Source organism: Homo sapiens, chromosome 6, assembly GCF_000001405.40.
Source record: "Homo sapiens chromosome 6, GRCh38.p14 Primary Assembly".
Taxonomy (NCBI): domain Eukaryota; kingdom Metazoa; phylum Chordata; class Mammalia; order Primates; family Hominidae; genus Homo; species Homo sapiens.
The window spans coordinates 56,725,491-56,748,203 of record NC_000006.12 but is presented as its reverse complement, the minus strand read 5'-3'; the positions used below and the strand labels follow the sequence as shown (position 1 = coordinate 56,748,203).

Sequence of the window (22,713 nt, the reverse complement as noted above, 5' to 3'; positions counted from 1 at the left end):
ACCATATATAGGAATATATATTCTTTTATATTTTGAAGTCTAAAGGCACCTACTTATTTAATGAACTTATGTTGGTATATGTTGTCCAGGTAGGCTATTGGCTGGGACAGAAAATAGCATAAAGGTAAGAAGAAATAGGATTCTTTCAGAAACCAACAAGTCATAAAATTTCAAAGAAACTTGAAAAACTGTATTTATTCCTTATAATTTGTTGATTTTATTTTTATCTGAGTTACTGGAGGTCCTGCTTTAATAAATTTTGAAGGTATCTTGTATGAATTTGATTTTTAAAGTGAAAACTGTTCTGTTTATGTCCTTACATATATGTAGTGATTATAAAAGTTTTCAAAACTGAATACTTTAAAACACCAAATTACTTAAGGTCTTCATAATATAATGGATTTACCTTACATATAAATAATGTAGAAATGATGCTTATTGAATTTATTTTCATCGAGTTACATATCTCTGTGCTTTGGGGTATATTCTTATCTAGAGCTCTGAATCTAGAAAGAAAGGCTGATAGTGAAAACCTTTTAAAAAAGTCTAATTTCTTAAGGTTAGCATGTTACAGATTAAGAGTTGCAGAAGCTTTCTGTCCTTAAACAGTGACTCAGATCAGCAGAAGTTAGATTATATATAATACTTAAATGTTATAGCAGTATAACTATAATTAGGAATCTCTTTATATGTTTTTAGGATGCTCAGGTAGGAGAAGGTAGATTCTAGGAGTTTTATATTCAATTCTTAGCCAATTGTGAGAACAGATACCAGTAAATTCCTTGTCAGAGCAGAACCTGATCCCCTAGATCCCAGCCAACAATAAGATTGAACCTCAGCTGCTCAGCAACTGCACTTACAGGAAGGCAGGAGATCTGATGACTGGGAGAGCAGATAGTGGTAGAGGAGGAGATACACAAAAAAGCATTTGTATGGAGAGATTTATGGCATTTGTAGTTTACATCTCAGCTTACCTAGCACATTCTACCATTCTACTCTTGTCCTGTGTCTGGATTCATGACAAATGCTGACAAAACCATTTGTTTTGTTCTGTGGCAATTAAACTTTGAACAAGGAGACTCTTCACGCAGTATAATTTCTGACTATATTCTCAGTAACTGATTCTCCTTTCAGAGACCTCCTGTGCCTTCACTGTTTTGTATCTCAGACTGGGCAGCCATTCTCTGAAAAAGGTATCACCAGTTGCACCTTCACCTCTGCTCGCCAACTCTCACCCCTCCCCTGTCTTCTCCCCTTTGCCTTCCCTCCTGCAGCCATCAGCCTAAGAGCAAGTCCAGTCACGCCTGGAGTGCTTAACTCTGCCTTCAGACCAGAATGGGGTACTCTGGCATGTGTCTCAGTATTTTTTTCTATATCTTCCATAGAGTCCACCGGAATATGTAATACATAAATGAATAAAATACCTGAAACACATTTTTCCCTCACAGTTATTATTAATAGTAATAAACAAATACACCCTCTTTGTAAAATAATCAGGCACTCAATCTGGAAATATGTAGAATGAGATAGGAAAGACACCATCTACCAACCTCTCTCCTTATAGCTTCCACTCTCTTCTACTGATGAAACTGCTCTTCCTCATGATATACACCTTTTATATATATTATTTTCCATTTTTTTTCACTGATCTTGTAAACCTCTTTTGTGTTACTATGTGCAGATTTTCCTTTATTAAAATTTTATAGGATAGGTGAAAGGTGAACTATAATTCATTCATTTAGTCTCCTGGTGACTGATATTTAAATTGTTTCAAATATTTTGCTATGGTAAACATCTTAGTATGCTAATCATATATAAGCAAGTATTTGTTTCTTACAGGTAGAGTTATTGGTTCAGAAAGTATATGGATTTTAAGTTACAGTGGACACTACTAAATTGCTCTCAAAAGAGTCTTTGTGGCCGAGTGAGGTGGCTCATACCTCTAATTCCAGCACTTTGGGAAGCCAAGGCTAAAAGATTGCTTGAGGCCAGGAGTTGGAGACCGGTCTGGACAAAAAAAGGGAGATCCTATCTCTACAAAAAATTTTAAAAATTAGCTGGGGGTGGTGGGGTGTGCCTATATAGACCCAGCTACTCAGGAGGCTGAGTTGAGTGGATTGCTTGAGCCCAGGAGGTTGAGTTTGCAGTGAGCTATGATCATGCCACTGTACTCTAGCCTGAATGATGGAGTGAAACCCTGTCTGTTAAAAAAAATAAAAAATAAAAAAGTCTCTGCCATTTTACACACCCACATTACGGTAGCTTGGGACTACCTATTTCTCTGCATTCAGCATTATCATTCTTACAAATTTGTGCCAATATGAAATAATTTTATCTGCATTTCCTGATTAGAAAGATGCTTTAGTATTACCCCATATTTTTGTTGGCCATTTGCATTTCTTCTATGAATTGTATGCTCACATCATTTGTAATTTAGGAAGAGCTGTCCTTCTTACTAATTAATAGGAGTTATTACTCTATTTGGATATTATTGATGTATATTTTACATATATAGCAGATGTTTTCTTCTAGTGAGTTTTTAAACTTTGTCTACAGTGTCTGCTGTTATATCAGTGGTTTGTCAAATTTGATAGTTTTGTTTAGTTTTTTTTGGTTCATGACTTGTTTTGAAATATTCTTCCCACCCAACTATTTTAAAACCATTATTTTCTATATTTTTAAATGGTTCCATTTGTTTTAAGAATTGTCTTATTTCTAATATTGTATAATTTCTTCGTGTACTACCAGGTAGTATAAATCCAAAGATTTTACTGTAGCTGTGTGTTGGACTTGTTATTTCCACACTTCTCTTGAAATGTGCAAGAAGAAAGCTTTTCTTAACACCTTACAATATTTCTTTGTACATGCAGCAACATGAGAGTCTTTTGTTGCCACAACAGAGGCAGACAATATTTATTACTGTGAGACCAACTGTAGGCTTTATGTATGTGGGACTTTGCAGTAGTGACTAAGCTAAGAAATTACGTGGAAATAACAGCATTTGTATACTTTCACCTATGGAGTCCTAAAGTATTTTGGAAACTTTTTCTTAATGATGAATAATTTTATCTGATAACTTTCCTGGTAAGGACCTTCCTTTTAACAAAAGTAGGGTGGAGGGGCGAGTGGCTGGGGAGTGGACTGTGGCTAAGGCTCAGAGTTATTAAGTAGCTTCCTCTAAGTCTGTCCTTCCACAGAGATAAGTCACAGATGAGTGGATGAAAGTTGGATTGACTAGAACATGAACATCAGTTGTACGTCTATACTAATAGAAATAAACCATAATGATGTTCCTGTGGGAATGAACATTTGAAAAGATTTTTCAATTAAAATGAGAGTGGGGACTTTTTCCTATTACCCATTTCAACTACGTGGCAGCTACAACCTCCAGTCACCAAGTAATGTTGGCTGAGATTTCTGTGGTTGAAGGTCAAATCAGGTAGGCAAGTGAGGTGTTACTAGAGTGAGGCAGTGCTGTCAGCTGATGATTGGGTGTGAGCTGATAGCTCACAGGTGGTTTGAGATGGGATTCTGCAGGGTGGTGATGTGCAGCCTCTTTGATTTGTTTTCACCCAGCTCCCTGTTCACCAACCATCCATTGTCCATCTTTTTCAGGAACTGATCTTTTCAACGATCCCAACTATTCCTTCCTTCTTTCGTCTATAATACCAACAATCTTACAGCTGTTTACTTGCAATATTTTTACTGTGTTGTACCACAGAGCTATTTCCAGGCAGTAATGGGGAAACTGACTAGCGTCCTTTCTTCTCCCTCCATATTATTTCTACACAACTCTAACACTTAATGTTTACCTTTTTTTTTTTTGAGATACAGCCTTTTTCAAAGTTTTTCTCCATCTTTTAAAATTCACATCTGATCCTTAAACTCAGAAATCTCATCCCTGCCTTAAATTCTGATGTAACTTCTTAGTGAAGCATTGCAGCTCCCCTCCCTCCACTCTTTAGAGTCATTAAGCTCAGAAGGTAAATTCCATCTTCTGTGGATTCCCACCATTAACAATCGGGCCAAGCTTTACTTTTTTTTTTTTTTTTTTGAGACAGAGTTTCACTCTTGTCGCCCAGGCTGGAGTGCAGTGCTGTGATCTCGGCTCGCTGCAAACTCCGCCTTCTGGGCTCAAGCAATTCTCTTGCCTCAGTCTCCTGAGTAGCTGGGATTACAGGTGCCTGTCACCATGCCCTGCTAATTTTTTGTATTTTTAGTAGAGATGGGGTTTCACCATGCAGGTGGTCTCGAACTCCTGACCTCAGGTGATCCACCTGCCTCAGCCTCCCAAAGTACTGGGATTACAGGCGTGAGCCATCATGCACAGCCCAAGCTTTACTTTTTATTTTTAACTCATTTTTTAAAAGTTAGAATTTTATTTCCTAAGTATGAAATTATAAAGTTGAGTAGGCTTTTACAAACTGCACTCTCTGCTCTTGGTAGCTTTGTGATCCTGGGCAAGTTGTTTAACCTCTAAGTGCCTCAGTTTCTTCATCTGTAAATGAAAGTTATCTCACTGATTGTTATGAGTATAATGTGCAGTGTGTGTGTGTGTTATATATGTGTGTGTGTAATTGAGAACAACATCTGGCAAATAATAAGTGCTCTCTAAGTGTTTGCTATTATTATTATCCTGGTTTCAGTGAAATAGACAGGCTTAGGCTTTCGTGTAGCGGAGGCAAGGGCTCTAAAGATAATTGGAAAAGGAGAGATAGGAAGAGAAGGGCTATTTACTAAGCAGATACTTTGAACTTCTCAGCAGGATCTGGTACAATTTATTCATTTACAGTATATTTAGAATAGGGTTAGAAAATCATATAAAGATGTTTTAAAGCATTTTGGCAACTGTTAATCCAGCAGTATTGTGGTGTGATTGAATGGTGGTTTTCTATTGCTGAAGTAAGTAGTGATCATTTTTGTTTGTTTGTTTTTTGGAATTAACTATGTATACAGTTTCTATTCAGGAAGGTCTATTGGTCTAACGTTTCAGACAAGCATAAGAATGCCAAAGATAGTTTGTCTTTTGCTTGTTTAGAACAAGGGTTCTTATGTCTTGACTTTTCATTATTCATTTATTCATACTTAGAAGTGAAGTGCTCCTAAATTTGAGGCACCTTGCTTTTCCTGCATTATTAGATTAGGGGTTCTATTGTTTGATGACATAAACGTTTAGAATCAGACTTCTTAAGATCCCACTTTGGCTGTGGAATTTTAGGCTAGATTGTTAATCTCTACAACTTTAATTTTCACAGCTTTAAACTGAGGACAGTACTACCCAACTCAGAATTATTGTGAAATCCAAATGAAAATGTATCCATAAGGCATACATAAAGAAATACCCAAAAGTGGTTTTCTCCCAGAAGGATGTATGTCTAGCCTATAAAGGTGATCCTTCCAAATCATGTTACTAGCACACATATCAGGGATAAGTTAAACAAGTTAGGCTGGATTTTTTTTATTTTTATTGCAGGGAAATTCTGCCTGGGGTGTTAGAAGAGAGAATGTGATGAGTTAGTTCAGCTGTGAAATCTAACATCCTATTGGTTCGCCTCATTGCAAAACAAAAAAAGGGAATTAAAACTTTTTTTAAAGGACTTCTTAAGAACAACTTTAAAATGAAAAGAAGAAATAGACAATTTGGTTTCTTTTTAGTAACAGTTGTATATATCCCCTACAAAAATAGTAGAGGAGTCTGGCTTTGTTAATATTTGTTTAAAAGGAGGTGTTGACTAGTTTTCAGCTTGCAAGTAGGAGTGTCTAGTCAGTGTTTTCTTTTCTACATAGAAAGTTAACAGGACTCTGACACATCAGAGTTTGTACGGAGAGAGTTTAGGGAACTGCTGCACAGATTTCCTGCAGAATGATGGGGCAGCTCATGAAAAATGATCAAGATTGGAACGCAAAGCTGGTGGGACTGATGTGCTGTATGGGTTAGTAGTATCACATATACTATCACTTTCATGTTTTCAGAACTGGGAAGGGAAAGTTGCACTACCTGCTTTGGTTTGCATGGCGATAGTTCAGCTGATTGTCGGGCATCTTTCGAAAACCTGTACTGAAATCAGGACAACTTCTGAGGCTCCCTGGAGAGAACTCCCCTGCCTATTGTTGTCCACAGAATATGTATTTATATAATCTCAATACTTACTGCGTGTGTGGTACTGAGTGAGTTTAGCTTTGTTTGGATTTCACTGAAAACCAGTCAATATAGATTGTAATAATCAGTACTCTTTTTGCATTTATTTGTTCCCCCCCAATTCTGTTATTCTTTGTCTTCATTGTCGTTACATATTTTCAGCTGTTACACTTTATAAGGGGGATATAAATATATATTTTTATTGAAAACTTAATCTATAAATGAAATAATTTTCAAATAGAGGAATGTTATAAAAGTTCAATTGTTTAAAATCACAGGAATGAGTTTCCCTTTTTGTTGCTGTAGCAACATTGCTCTAAATATAAATCTCAGTGTTAGACATCTCTAACTGAAATGAAATAAAGAACCATTATGAGACTTGTAATTGGAAAATTAGATGGTGTAATCTGGAATACTCCCTTTTGAAATAACTCCCTTTTGAAATAATGTGTATGGAAAGTGGTGTGATTTACAAAGTCTTCCCAGACTTAAATTATTCTCTGACTCTAGGTTGCTCTCTTGAAGAAAGTTGAAGCCTTTAGAATTCACATTAACTCTTTTCTCATTCCTGTAGCATTGTGGAAGCCTTCTCATGTTAAAGAGCATATTTTGGTATTTGAATGGGACTCATTTAAGTTGATCATGGTTTAAAAGAAGAGGTTTAGGTTGTTCCTGTTAGAAAACAGTATCAGAATTTATGAATTATGTGTGTTATTTAGTCTTTGTATCTTATGTACTTTAGTTACGGATCATAATTCCTAGATATTACCTCAGTAGTACCTACGAAATATCATGTTATTAGCAGTGCTTTTGAGCATCTAGCACAACAACAACAACAAAACCTCATTGATCAAAAGAACCTTTGTATAGTAAGTACCTCTGTACTTAGAGGTAAATTATTTGATTAAATCAGCTTTCTTAATATACTGCTTTGGTAAGTAATTAGCCAATTTATCTATAGAATCTGTTTTACCTCATGTTCCTTGAACTATAGGACCAGTTTTTATTCACTTAGAAAAGAAGAAATCTATTTTGTTAACCCTTTTTTACCCAAGAAGAAAATAGTTTATATAATACACATAATAGATTAAATTTATTTTGTGACTTATATGGAAACTCTATTCTTGAATTATAAAGATTTTTAATATATTATTAATTTTTTTTTCTTGAGGATTTAGCATCAGGGGCCTTGGTTGTTATTTAATGGGAATAATATGGATATTACCTAGGAAGTAATTTTTTTCATTTACTCTGTTTTCTTTTTGCTGGATGCTTAGAACATCACTGCTGAAAATGTGATATGAGTGCTAGACTTTGGCACAGAACTTCCATTGTTTGCAATCAGTTGTCCAAAGTTCACATCACATCACAGAGCCAGATTCCCCAGCTCCCTGTCTGTGACTGAGATGTGGTCAGCACTTCCATTTGAAAAATGACAGTATCTTGGGGATAGTGGAAGCAACCTTGTAGGGAAACATAAGAGTTGGGTCCTAACCAAGGCTCTTTCAATGTTAAATGATTAAGTCAGAGATTCTTTTTAGTGGAGAAATTGACACATGGCTGGCTTCTGTTTTGCTACCCTACTTCCTGTCCTTTAAGCCCCACCTGACTGCCCTGGATGAGGTTGGTCCTTCTCTCTTTTGTGCTTGCATACATGGTGAGTGCCATGTACTTCTCTCAACTGGTGTGCTTACCACACTGCCTTTCTGTCAGGTGTCCTCTCCAGGTCATGAGCTTCAGAAACCAAGACTAGTGCTTTCTCTGCAGCCTGGTGGTCTCAGTGTTACAGGACAGGGGTCCAGATTCAAACCCCAAGAGAGGGTTCTTGGATCTCTTGCCAGAGAGAATTCAGGGTGAGTCCACAGAATAAAGTGAAAGCAAGTTTATTAAGAAAGTAGGCCAGGTGCGGTGGCTCACGCCTGGCCTACACTTTGTAATCCCAACACTTTGGGAGGCCGAGGCGGGAGGATCACCTGAGGTCAGGAGTTTGGAACCAACCTGGCTAACATGGCGAAACCCTGTCTAAAATACAAACATTAGCCAGGTGTGTTGGCGCATGCCTGTGATCCCAGCTACTCAGGAGGCTGAGACAAGAGAATCCCTTGAACCTGGGAGGCGGAGGTTGTAGCGAGCTGAGAATAAAGAATGGCTACTCCATAGACATAGCAGCCCTGAGGGCTGCTGGTTGCTCATTTTTGTGGTTATTTCTTGATGATATGCTAAACAAGGGGTGGATTATTCATGCCTCCTCCTTGTAGACCATATAGGGTAGCTTCCTGACATTGCCATGGGATTTGTAAACTGTCATGGCGCTGGTGGGAATGTCATAGTGAGGACGACCAGAGGTCACTCTCGTTGCCATTTTGGTTTTGGTGGGTTTTAGTCAGCATCTTTACTGCAATCTGTTTTATTAGCAAGGTCTTTATGACCTGTATCTTGTGCTGACCTCCTATCTCAACCTGTGACTTAGAATGCCTTAACCATCTGGGAATGCAGCCCAGTAGGTCTCAGCTTCCTTTTACCTAGCTCCTATTCAAGATGGAGTTGCTCTAGTTCACACCCCTCTGACACCAGCACCACCATAGCACTGGACTCATTAAATGACCAGATAGATGCTAGGATGAAGAGTGAGTAAATGAGGGAAGTACAGAATCTGCACTTATCAGTGAAGAGAACTAGTAAATTGTTTCTGTTTCCTTGTTCTTGCTTTACCAACAAATTGGTAATTTAGGTTCATTTTGAACTGTCTAGGAATAGCAAGGCCGAAAGACATTTAGGACACCATTATTGCTTTAAGAGATATAGTTGTATATACTACTGTATATATGTATACAAGTAATTCTACATTGTTTTCCTCAGTTGGATTGTCCTTCCTGAAATAAAATTATTTCACACAATGGGCATCTATCTGTTGAGCGCATAGAGGCATTGCAGCATAGAGGCTTTGTGGCATCTAGTATGTGGTAGACAAAGATGAATGAGGTATAGATGATGCCCCTAAGGGGCCAATAGAGGAATTAATAAATATTTTGTGGATAATATTATTGGTTCATAATTATTAATATCATTGCTTTTGATAGCAGTTTTAAGCAAAGTGCCTGGGGGTTTTACACTTGGAATGAGGCAAATAAAATAATTTTAGGGTCAGACACAGTGGTTCACGCCTATAATCCCAGCACTCTGGGAGGCTGAAGCAGGTGGATGGCGTGAGCTTAGGTGTTCAAGACCAGCCTGGGCAACATGACGAAACCCCATCTCTGCAAAAAATGCAAAAATTCACCAAGCGTGGTGACATGCACCTGTAGTCCCAACTCCTTGGGAGGCTGAGGTGAGAGGATCATTTGAGTCCAGGGACGTGGAGGTTGCAGTAAGCCAAGATTGTGCCACTGTAGTCCAGCCTGGGCAACAGAGCGAGACTGTCTCAAACAAAACAAAGATAAAACCAGGCCAGACTCGGTGTCTCACGCCTGTAATCCCAGCACTTTGGGAGGCTGAGGCGGGCCGATCACGAGGTCAGGAGATTGAGACCATCCTGGCTAACACGGTGAAACCCCATCTGTACTAAAAATACAAAAAATTAGCCAAGCGTGGTGGCACATGCCTGTAGTCCCAGCTACTCGGGAGGCTGAGGCAGGAGAATCGCTTGCACCTGGGAGGCGGAGGTTGTAGTGAGCTGAGATCATGCCGTTGCACTCCAGCCTGGACAGCAGAGCAAGATTTTGTCTCAAAAAAAAATTTTAGTATAAATTCTGAGCATTTATATTCAGAATTAGCAAACTACTTCTACTGTCTGGGAATGCTTTCTGCACCCCTTTATCTAATTTTTAAATAAGAAGTAGATTAGAAGTTGGGGGCACTGAAAAGGTATTATAGGCAGAATCAAAAGATGGGCTGTATATAAGTACCTTTTTTTTCTCCCTGACAGTGATAGGAAATGGAAGGTGTTTCAATGAGGTACTTTGGAGAAGAAATGCTTATGAAATAAAAAGTACGTTATATGTTCCTCCCCCCCATTCTTATTGGCATTAAAGTAGGAGAACTCTAAATGATAATACTATCACTGAGTAGTCTTACAACAAGTTGAATTTGAACAGACCATTGTATCACTTTACTAAAATTTCCTTATTTCCTTTTCTCGAACATTTGTGTTTTTTCAGAATTTTTATTTTCCTATTGTAAGCACTCTGATTTATATTCTCATAGTTACATTTTGTACATAATATGATTATAACTTCAGAATAGATTTTAGAAGTAGATTTGCTGGGAAAGGTCGTAGGTATTTTTAGGGCTTTTTATGTATATTAACAAATTGTTGTACAGCAGTGTTGTCCAGTAGAGCTTTGTTTTAGAGCAGTGCTGTCTGACAGAAACTTCTGTGATGATGGGATTATTCTATATCAAATTATTCTAAAGTAGCGCTGTCCAGTAGAGCTTTGTTCTAGAGCAGTGCTGTCTGATAGGAATTTCCGTGATGATTAGAATGTTCTATTTCTCTGCTTTTCAATATGTTAGCCATTAGCTACATGTGACTGTCAAGCACTTAAATTGTGACTAGTGCAACAAAGAAACTGAATTGTTAATTGTATTTTGCTTTAATTAACTTTGGTTTAAACTTAAATAGGTGTATGTGACTAGTGGCTACAGTACTGAACAACGCAGGTCTAGAAAGTTTAAATTAAATTACATTTTCATCAGCAATATGTGTGTCTGTTTCTTGTGTCCTTTTCAACATGAAATTTTTTAAAAAATAAAATCTTGGCAATTTGGTAAGTTAGAAAGCTTTATCTGTGTTACTTTATATTATTATTTTTTGTTAGTGAGATTGAGTACCTGTGTGCATTACATTTTTATTGTTATTTTATTATTTTTTGGAGACAAGGTCTTGCTGTGTCACCCAGGCTGGAGTACAGTGGCGCCATCATGGCTCACTGCAGCCTTGAGCTCCTGGGCTCAAATGACTTGCCCACCTCAGCCTCCCAAGTAGCTGAGACTACAGGTGCATGCCACCATGTCTGGCTAATTTTTGTATTTTTTTGTAAACACGGATTTCATCATGTTGCCCCGGATTTCATCATGTTGCCCAGGCTAGTCTCCAAATCCTGGGCTCAAACAATTTGCCTGCATTGGCCTCCCGAAGGGCTGGGATTACAGGCATAAGCCACCACACCTGACCCTTGGGCATTACTTTTTAAAAAATTGATTAACTGTCTGTTTTTGCCTGCTTATGTATTAAAATGTTAATCTTTTTCTTCTTGCTGTTTTTTCATAATAGTAACATTTGTCTCATATTGCGTATATTTTCCCTAGTTGATATACTTTTGTTTACATTCAAGTTATTCTAGAGAACATAAATACTTTTAATAAATAGGACAAACATTTTCAAAGAAACTTTAGTTATATTACAGTAGTTTAAAGGGGGTTAGGAATGAAGAATGAGGAGAAAAAGAGATGAAGAAAGAGACCGAGACATATCTTACCCCCAGGGAAAGGATGGAGAACATCTGAATTGTGGTAGAAGAGGAAAGAAGACCACCAAGGAAGGAGAAAGAGGTAGCCCTGGAGGCAGAAAGGAGAGAAGAAGGAAATAAGAAAGTAAGGAATTGCTGTCTAGAAGTAGGGAGGAAGAAGATAGTGTAATACAGTTTTGAATGCTAGCTTTAGGTGTTGGATGATTATCATTCTCCTTTGAAATAATAACTTGATGAACCACAGCATTCCAATTGCTCTTTCTCCTTAAATCAGAAGAAAACTTTTCTCACTCTTCTTTGTGCTGTCTATAGGAACCAGGGCAGGATCACTGTCCACAGTAAAGATCTAGTTGGGGCATTTCTTTGTTGTACAGTTCAACACAGGAATCTAGGAAAGAAATAGCATAGGCCAGGCATGGTGGCTCACGTCTGTAATCCCAGCACTTTGGAAAGCCAAGGTGGGTGGATCACTTGAAGTCAGGGGTTCGAGACCAGCCTGGCCAACATGGTGAAACCCTTACTAAAAATACAAAACAAACAAACAAGCAAACAAAAAAAACAAACAAAAAAATTAGCTGGGTATGGTGGCGCATACCTGTAGTCCCAGCTACTCTGGGGGCTGACGCAGGAGAATTGCTTGAGCCCAGGAGGCAGAGGCGGAGGTTGCAGTGAGTGGAGATCATGCCACTGCACTCCAGCCTGGGTGACAGAGTGAGATTCCATATCAAATAATAATAATAATAAATTACTACTTAATATTAATTAAGCAGAATAATTAATGTTCAGCCAGAGTCTACTTCAAGCCAAAAAGTCTCAATTTAGGCCTTGCCTTTTGTCAAGACTTTAAACTATTTGCTGGGTAATCATGAACAAGTCTTTTATCCTCGTTAAGTCTTGGTTTCTTATTCTACAAAATGGGAGTAACCCTTCCTCTTATGGCTGTGAAGAGCAAATGGGATGTACATATGGTAAAGGGCTTTGGGAAATTCAGTGCAAGGACAAGGCTTACGTTAGACAACTTCATGGTGGTGGTGGTGGTGATGAGGGGTTATGGGACAGAGGGGCAGAGGGCATTTGTTTAATGGAGGAATATTGGTAAATGCAGTACTGGGAAGAGACCAACCTGACAAGCAGCTCTTTAAACACTTTCTTACAGATAGCCTGAAGTTGCCAAAATTTAACAAGAAACTTTGAATACACTGAAGCATATCTTTTAAATATCTCATTTTTGTTTATATTCATGATCACAAAGTCATCTATTCATAGATTTTACCAACCTTATCTTTATATATATTTTTTCCTTCCAGATGAACGGGACAAAGTTCAGAAGAAAACATTTACAAAATGGATAAATCAGCATCTCATGAAGGTCAGTTTTTATTTCGTTCACTTCCTGGAATTGTTTGGAATATTTCAGTTTATTTTGCAGTAATTGATTATATAGCTCTGAAGCACAACTTTTGAAAATCATCTTGAAAGTTTAAATTCTAGAGAATTTTGCATGCATTTTAGGCATCTATAATTATTTGGTGTGTGGACGGTGGGTAATGATGGAGGTGGATAGGTAAGTACCCAGTGATTTCAGTGCATTCTGTGACGTTAGTAAAACCTGTTACTATTGGAATCTATAAAATCTCAGAAGTTTCAGAAATCTGTAAATATTTATATGTTAGTGCATGGAAAAGCTACATTTCTTAGTAAGATTTTTTTTCTCTCTCAAGATTCAAACCAAGTTCTGGCCTCAGGTTTATGTGGATGGCAGAAGGTTAGATGAGAATAAAGATATTGTAGGGACAGAAGTCTAGACTTATTATATTCTTATACTTAATTTAATCCAGTGATTGGTGCTTATGTCTAACTTTCTCTATGAAGCAGTTAATGGTTATGGTTCTTAAATTAATATTTACTTGTGTACCATGGGTAATTTTGAGAATATAAACTATCCAGAAAATAGATAAACACAAAATTTGCATGTAATTTCGTGGAGTTATTGGACCCTATTGAAGCCCTTCTGTAAATCTTGTGTAAGGAACCCTTAGGATTTCACAATAAACTATTGGTCACTTCCCCTTTCTCCCACCTTTTAAGGAGAGCCCTAAAGTTGAAATAGGTCATGTTTCTATTTGGAGTTTTCTCACATAGAAATGTTATTTTAAATGTGGTTATGTATTCTTAAGCTAGCCAACAAATCTTATTTAAACTATCATGTAGCTTAAGAGTGGTACCAATAATGTAAATTGCGTTTAGTCATCTTCTATAAAAGTGATTTTTATTTCATGGATGTATCAGAATTACCTTAGAGGTGTGTCAGTCTTGTCTCTCTCACCACTTGACAGAACCTTTTTCTCAAATTCTGATAATATCCCTCAGGGAGGGCACATCACGCACTCTCTGGTTGAGAATCACAAGCGATAAAAGGTTGAAACCCTCTGCTTTGTGAGGAAATATATTGTGAATTCTGACGCAGCATGCGGCAGTTCATCTGTCCTCTCTCAAGCTTTTCTTTCATTCTGCACATACTTTATGGGAGAGGATCTCTTCCTTACAGGCTAGGACACTCTGTAAAGTTTGGGGTGTGGATACTGTAATAAGTTGCCTGGAGTGCTGACTCAGGCTAGGGACGTGTTCCCTGTCTTTTAAATAATTCTTAAAAGTTTTGCCTTTTCTAAATTTTTATCTTGTTAACTTAAATTTAATATTATTCACTTATTTCCCCCTGTTTTTTTCACCCTTGTTGTGACTCCAAGAACTATTCTTGTTTGTCCTATTCCTTTGGACAGTGAGGTGCTTGAGAGGTTAGTCTCCAGACAGGCCTTTCTTTACTGGATTCTTTTTTTTTTCATTTTTGTAAAAGGTATATTATGTTAATTTTGAACAAATTAGCTTTGAAAGGAAAACATCTTTTGCAAGGTTATCAGTCTGTGACATGTACACCAAACAGAGGAGCAGAAGAAGCCTCACCTTTGAGGTCAGGTAAATGGTGGTGTGTCCAGGCTTTGCAATTCATTATTTGTGTGAACTTAATCTCTTTATGCCCTCATCTGTAAAATGGTGGTAATGCCAGCTTGGTGTGAGGATTTAAATGAGATAGTCTAAATAAGCATAAAGCATAGTACTTGGCATATTGTTAGGCACTCTATAAATGAGAGCGTATGGTGTAGAAGGGTGGATTGACTTGGAAGGTGTCAGACAAAATTGTGAAGTTAAGTGTAAGTTGCTTTTGGTGCCCATCTGCTTCCCTTATCTGTGTCTCTTTTTATTACATCAAGTACTTTTCCTTTTAGTTTATTCATTTTAGAAAAAGCTACAGTTTGGGGTTCAGACTCTTTTTGAGGAGATTGATAGGTGTGTTGCCTCTTTACCTTAGAGTTCTGCTGGGACACTGAAGAATGGCTTACCTGTGGTAATCCTGTAGCTGTGCTCTCCTTGCCCCCTGCCTACCCCTCCACAGATTTTTAAAGGTTGATTTGGGGGCCTGGAGTCCTTTTTAAATCTCCTTTTCTTCTTCTCCCACACATTCTTCTCACAGAAAGGGAGTCAGTGAACACTCATCTTACTTCTGAAAGGTTGGCAGCTTTTGGACCTCAAAGTTAGTTTTACTTAGAGTCACACTTGGAGGGCATCTTCAAAATCTTCTGGTTCTGTTCCCTCGTTTAAAAGTAGGGGAAACTTGCCACAGCTGCTACTGGTAGAGCTGCACTTGAAGTCGTGAAATGAGAATATGAATTCAAATGAGACGCTGTGTCCAGTGTTTGACTTCTTTGAGCACTGCAATAGGTTGCAGATCCCAGCAGGTTCCCCTTGGATGTGGGGTTGTGTTTACTTTTCTTAACTTATTGTTTCAACTATTTGCTAATTTTTGTGACTTAGGAAGTTGTGATTTATGTAGCTATAAAAAAGCATATACACAGTGCTCAGGGTTGATACTGGCGTGGTCAATTTTTAAAAGTTTATATAACTGGCAAAAGTAAACATTGTGGAGCTTTTAAATGATTGTATAAGTTACTGTTACATTTATGTGCATAAATATTTTCTTCTTAAAATATTTGGTGAGGATTTTTTTGCTCTTCGATACAGTTTCTTTTGTTGTTTTTTGCTTATTTCAAAAGCATGCTCATTAAAAGGAAAAAAGTCAAAATTATAAATGTTTCTGGAAAATCAGTTAGAAACACAAAAGCAATTATTAGAAAAAGTTTTCCTGAAAACTCTGGCACAGAAGCTTGAAAAACAACCCATGATGTACCAAAATTAGCGATACTTGAAAAAAAGCCATAACTGGGGGATATTCCTTTTCAACCAAATGGCTGTTTAGGCCAAATTGTTGTGATGATCAAATTGCTTTTAACCAAGTGTATGCCACTCTATATTTTCAAACCATGGTCTCATTTATCTTTAAGCTTTGCATATGCTGCTTCCTTAGAAGAGGGTCCTTTTCGATCTCCACTTTCATCTGGCTGATTAGTGAAGAATTAACTAGCACTTGTGAACTAGAACCCATTAAAATTAGGAACATGAAACCTGATTAAAAATTTCAAGATTTTTAGTTCTTTGTTTTAAAAGTCCTTGTTTATCCAGAAAAAAGCAATCTCTAAAAATATTATTGTTTAAAAAGTTAAATATTTGATTTGTGACATCATTTGTTTTATTATATCATTTAAAATATCTAGATAGGGTAACAATGTCAAATATTAAAGCAACTTTATAAGAAAACAAAATTTTCATGATTATTAAATTCTTTCTAAGCCCAAACTTGCAACTTATGTATAAAAAGGTAAAGTAATCCTGAGACCAAAAAGTTTGAGAAATATTACTCTATGACTGTATGTAATAGGTTATTTATTGCAGCACTGTTATAACTGCAAGAGGTTGGAAATGACCTACATGTTCATCAATAAGAGATTGGTAAAAATAATTATGATACATCCAAACAGCGAAATACAACATTAAAAAGAATCAGGAGCATTAGGCCAGAAAATGAGATGAAACACATCAATCTCTTATTGATGGTTTCACTGAGTAGGAAGAGGTAAAACCATCTCTATTTGCAGATGATAGCATCTTGTTTAAAGAAAATCTCAAGGAACCTAGCATAATAACTACCAGAATGAATAAATGAGTTCAGTAAGGTTGAAGCATACAATATCAGTATTTAACAAACTATTGTGTTTCTATACACTTGCAAAGAACAATCCAAAAATGAAATGAAGAAAACAATTCTGGGCCAGGCACAGTGGTGCACACCTGTAGTCCCAGTTACTTGGAAGACTGAAGTGGGAGAGTCTCTTGAGTCCAGTCTGGGTAACGTGGTGTGACCCTGTTTCTTAATCTTTTGATTATCAAGGAAAATTCAGGATCAGGTCAGAGAATATTTTTCACTCAACAGTCCAGCAGATAACACTAAACTCTGTTTAGTCTCAGTGGATGACACCTAGCCCTCAGCCTGGCCTTCAACCACTGCTGCTCCATCTCGCTTTCCCACTGGCATCCTGGTGCCCTGCACACCCCAGCCCTGGGCCAAGGCTGCTTGAGGATGGGCCCTGAGGACTTTTAAAATGTAACCTTTTCTCCAGAAAAAAGTTAATATGGCCTTATTTTGTATTTTTCAGGCTAAAATTACATTTGTTTAAAGCAAATCGGCTAATTAATTAAAACTTGTATTTGTTGGTGAGCAGACATCCGTGGCTTTTTTCCAGATGTATTTAAATTTTAGTGTTCCGGTAGTTCAGTTGTATGACTAAGCCTGCCCTTGAAACTGATTGTTCTATTAAGAATGTTTTCCTTTTGATTCATCATTCTTCAGAATACTTTTAAGAATAAAGTGCAGTTAACACACAGATTATTTACCTTGCAAATCATGGTTTCTAGGTAAATTACTGGTGTCAGGAACATTTATATATTATTCTTTAGCATAATTTAAACTGCAGAACTAGAGTAAGAGCTGGTTGTTATTGGAAATACCTGTGTCTTCAGTTAGCTAAATTTTACCTGGAGAATTGTTCCAAAATATAAAATTGATGACATTCTTTTGTCATTTACAACATTTATTTCTGCCTCTTCTACCTATGACACTAGGTACTCCCTCTTTATATTAGAGGGTTTTATATAACTACTTGTTGTTACTCATCATGTGCAATTTGCTGTCTAGAAATTCATAGGACAACAATATGAGAAATGGCACCTATGAGTTAAGTACTGATTTAGCTTTTGCTTTTCTCGGGGAATGGGGTGGGGGACAGAGAAAGAAGGAAGGACTTTATTTTCTGAAGTATGTTAACAGCTATCATTAGAAGACTCCCTTTAATCACTTACTTGGGCCTGGAATTAGAACTTGAGCCATGAGAGACTGTGTTTAGGAGGAGTAGTTTAAGGGGATAAATGATTTTTAGGGGAAGATTGGAGTCCAGAGAAGTCTATATAATGTGGTTTCCTTGCATAGGATCCATCTAATTGGCAATTTATGGTGGAAATATATTCTTCAATACTGATCAGCTATATTTTAAATTTATTCCTTCACATTTGAAAGAGGATATTTGGTCTAAATATTTTTTCTTTTTGTAAACTTTAATTTATTGACACATAAATGCATTTGGAGAGGAAGAGGCCCTGGATGCCATTGTTGGACACACTCTGTTTGTTAGTCATCTACTTGGTTACTGCATGGGAGACACCCAACTGACTATCACAGATTTTATCACTGTTCCATCACGACTTTGGAAAGCTTAATTTACTCATGGCGCAGATATTCTTTGCCCACATAGTGAAGTCAGTGACTTCATGACTCCACCAAATCAATCACACTGTTCTTTATTTTCTGATTTGGTGGCGGGAAGATAATATAAATCCTCAAGCTGAGAACACAGTGGTATCTTTTAGAGAACAGAAAAAAAAGCTCTATTTCCTCTGTGGTTTTGACCATTGCAAAGTGATCGAGAATAATTTCACATCTGTGGGCTCAGATTAAATAGGGGAATTTTTTTTTTTTTTTTTTTGAGATGGAGTTTTGCTCTTGTCGCCCAGGCTGGAGTGCAATGGTGCGATCTCGGCTCACCGCAACCTCTGCCTCCCCGCAATCTCCGCCTCCTGGGTTCAAGTGATTCTCCTGCCTCAGCCTCCCAGGTAGCTGGGATTACAGGCATGTGCCACCACGCCCAGCTAATTTTGTATTTTTAGTAGAGACGGGGTTTCTTCATGTTGGTCAGGCTGGTCTCGAACTCCTAACCTGAGGTGGTCTGCCCGCCTCAGCCTCCCAAACTGCTGGGATTACAGGCGTGAGCCACTGCCCCCAGCCAAAATAGGGGAATTTTTGAAGCATCAACTTTATAAAGGGCTAATGAAAAATACTGCTTGGTAGAGTGTATTGCTTTGGGTTCTTAAAACCTACAAATAAGACTTTTTTCCCCAGACCTTAGATTTATGTTAGTAGTTCCTAAACTTTAGCCTTATCGAACTCACTTGGAAATATTTTAAACTTTAAAAAGTTGCAAAAATAAAGTAGTACAAGGAACACTGATAGACTGTTTACCCAGATTGAGCTCTTGTTAATGTTTTACCTAGTTTGCTTTATTATTCTCCCTTCCCCAGTCGTGTGTGTGTGTGTGTGTGTGTGTGTGTGTGTGTGTGTGTACTTTTTTTATCTGAACCACTTGAGGGTAAGTTATATATACCATAATCCTTTACCTCTAAATACTTCAGTATGTATTTCCTAAGAATAGGGTTATTCTGTTTTGGACCACACAGTTAGCAACTTCATAAATTTATATTGGTATAATATTTTAATGTCTGTATTTCAGTCTTGTTTGTTGATCTTTTACATCATCCTCTCTTCCCCGAGGGCAAGGACCAGTTCAGGGTCAGGTATTGCATTTAGGTGTCATGTCTCTTTAACCTGCTTTATTTGTTTATTTAATTAATTATTTTTTTTGAGACAGAGTCTGGCTCTGTCACCCGTGCTGGAGTGCAGTGGCGTGATCTCAGCTCACTGCAACCTCTCCCTCCTGGATTCAGGTGATTCTTGTGCCTCAGCCTCCTGAGCAGCTGGGATTACAGGCATGAGCCACCATGCCCAGCTAATTTTTAGTATTTTTTAATAGAGACGAGGTTTCAATATGTTGGCCAGACTGCTGCCTTTGTCTCCCTAGGTGTTGGGATTATAGGTGTGAGCCACCATGTCCTGCCAACCTGCTTTAATTGGAAACAGTTTCTATAGCCTTTTTGGAGACTTGTATGAAATTGACATTTTTGAAGAATACAGAACAAGAATTTATTTATATAGAATGGAAAAATGGATTAATAGCAAAATATCTTTTGAACCTAAAATTATTTCATGACAAGAAGACAAACTTTTTGTTTTTTCTTATGAGGGCCATTTAAGCAATTATAAGTCATTTTAGTGTTTGTTGATAAAATTGTGAACTATCTTTTCAAATTAAGAACACCAAAATTTTATTCAGTAATTCCCTCAAATAACTTTAGTTCTATCTTGTGGTCAACTTATAGTTTTTCTTCTTCTTGACTTTCTTATTCCTGATTATCATTATTACTACCACCACTGTCAATGCCATTTATTGAGTGCTTATTATGTGCTTGACCCTGCACTAGATACATTACATACATTATCTGATTTAATCCTTATTTTATCAGTGAGAAAACTGAGGCTCAGGGAGGATAAGTTATCTGCCCAACATGAAGTAGCTAAAATGTTGGCAGAGCTGAGATTTAGTCCTTCGTCCTTCCTGGCTCCACAGAACTACATCATGCCATTGCATTATGCCAAAATATAAAGACACAGAATCTTGAATCATGAAGAAGAAATGGAGACAGAGAAGTAGAAAGAAAGCAATATGCTAGGGCACATGGCCTCTTTGCTGTGTTCTAATTTCTTTCAGCATTCCCTCATATACTCTATCTTGGCTGGTATGCCCTGGCCTTGTTATGTAGCCATAAATTTCTATTTGCATTCTTCTTCAATCAACACACTAGGCAAGAGTTTAGAGATACAGATAAAAGTATGCAAAGAAGCCAAGCAGCATTCCTGAGGGTCATTGTTTTAGCTGGAAAAGGGTAATTTCTAAAGCGTTTTCAAAGAAGAAAAAAAATTACACTTTGTTCAGTGGTGCTAACATATTCTAAATCATGTTGTACAGATCTTCACATTGGAAGTGTGTGTGTTCTGTGACAGGTCTCAGTTAATTTAGAATGTTTGTTTTTCCAAGGTTGAGGATGTGTGCCCATGACATAGCCTCAGGAGGTCCTGACGAAATGTGCCCAACGTGGTCCGGGCACAGCTAGGTTTTATGCATTTTAGGGAGACATGAGACATAGATCAATATGTGTAAGATGTACATTGGTTCAGTCCAGAAAGGTGGGACAACTCAAAGTGGGGAGGTGGCTTCCAGGTCACAGGTAGATAAGAGACAAATGATTGCATTCTTTTGAGTTCTGATTAGCCTTTCCAAAGGAGGCAATGAGATATGCATTTATCTCAGTGAGCAGAGGGTGACTTTGAATAGAATGGGAGGCAGGTTTGCCCTAAGCAGTTCCCAGCTTGACTTTTCCCTTTAGCTTAGTGATTTTGGGGCCCCAAGATTTATTTTCCTTTTACAGTTCTGTAGTAGGAGGATTAAAGCACTAGACTTGGTTTGTTATTCAAAACTAGACTCAAAGCTGCATAAGGACAGGTTATATCTGTTATAAGAAACAATGCATCTGCGGCCTCTAGCATATTGTCTGATACACTGCTGTTTTCCTCAGACCGTACTAAGGAATTTGATGTGTAATGAATGAATATGAAACTAAATAAAGCTTTTTTTCCCACTAGTATACTATATTACTTCTATGATGGAGAAGTGAAAGGCTTGCTTTGGTAGGAGTGAGATAAACGTTAGTCTGCAGGAAAAGAGAAATAAACTTATGGTGACTTTCTTCTTATAAAGCTAAAAAGGTCTATTTAATTATAGGTATAGAAACTGAGGCCCCAAGTCCAACAGGTTGACCAGTGGGGTCCAAGTTAGGATTCATTCTTCTGACTGCTATGTTCTGTCCACTGGATAAACCAGTTTCTCCATTTATAGCTAGGTAGTAGGAAGTTTACTCATATTCATAGGTGAGATTAATTAATTTGCCCTAAGTTACTAATTAGCTTTGCTGTTCTTAACCACTGTTGTCTTATTGTAGATGTAGCCAGGTTTCTTTGAAGGTCTAAGATATTCTTTTCCATAGAATCAAATAGAAAACCCCATTTCCAGGCTCTAGTGAGGGTTTACCATATTGCAAACCTGAGGGAGAATTCAGAGACTAGTTTTAGTCTGACAGAGGGACTGACAGAGAAAGACAAATAGCAAAGGAAATGAAACCTGTAATCAGAGAGGTAGAAGGCCACTCCTTCCAGGGAAGGAATTGGACTTGCTGAGGAGTTTGGAAACTGAGTCATTTGAACCTAATATAATATAGAAGAAATTACTGTGTTGTGAACATTTAAAAGAGGGCTGACTTCAAAGGGAAGCTGTTGAAGCTGGGAAGGCTATTGCGTATTTCCAAAAGTGTTGAAATTCATACCTGACTGGATGGCACAATGCTGTTGATGTACAGTGTTAATATATTCTGATGCTGTTGTTTGCTTAAATATATTTTTATCAAAAAATTTCAAGTAATCTTGTTTGTGATTAAAAAAAAAACTCTCCTGGAAAATCCACTAGGTTTAAAATTTAAGGAACCCATGGCATTCATTAATATGTCAGTTTTTGCTGCTGCATATGTATAGAGTTCTTAACATATGGAATGGGAGCTTTCATAAGTCATTCTTAGAGGCCTGAAATTGCATTTCCTTAAATGGGTGAAACTTGTTACAATGTAGAACAAGAACTGGTCTTGTTCTCAGGCTAGCCCTCTAGATCTTATTTAATGCATATACTATCGTACAGATGTTAAGTGCTCAAGAAGCCATATACTAGAGGAGAAAGAGTGGTTTCCTCCTCTCATTCCCAAATAGATTTAAATTTCAAACTACCTAACTCCTTTTCTTTGTCCATTCCTTAGAATCACCCTCTTCTACCCAGGGGCCCAGTGCATGTGTGTGTCCTCCCGAGGCACTCTCTTTTCCAGAGTGTT

The 22,713-nt window shown here is 37.5% G+C and overlaps 1 protein-coding gene across 9 annotated transcripts in view; it reads left to right on the top strand.

Moving 5' to 3' along the window:
- The window catches only part of DST (dystonin), a 496,835-nt gene that overhangs the window by 206,627 nt on the left and 267,495 nt on the right, over positions 1-22,713 (top strand). For all 9 annotated transcript variants that reach the window (NM_001144769.5, NM_001374722.1, NM_001374736.1 and 6 more), the window contains one exon: positions 12,915-12,976. In NM_001144769.5, coding sequence (NP_001138241.1) covers positions 12,915-12,976 — 62 coding nt within the window. The remainder of the gene's footprint in view (positions 1-12,914; positions 12,977-22,713) is intronic.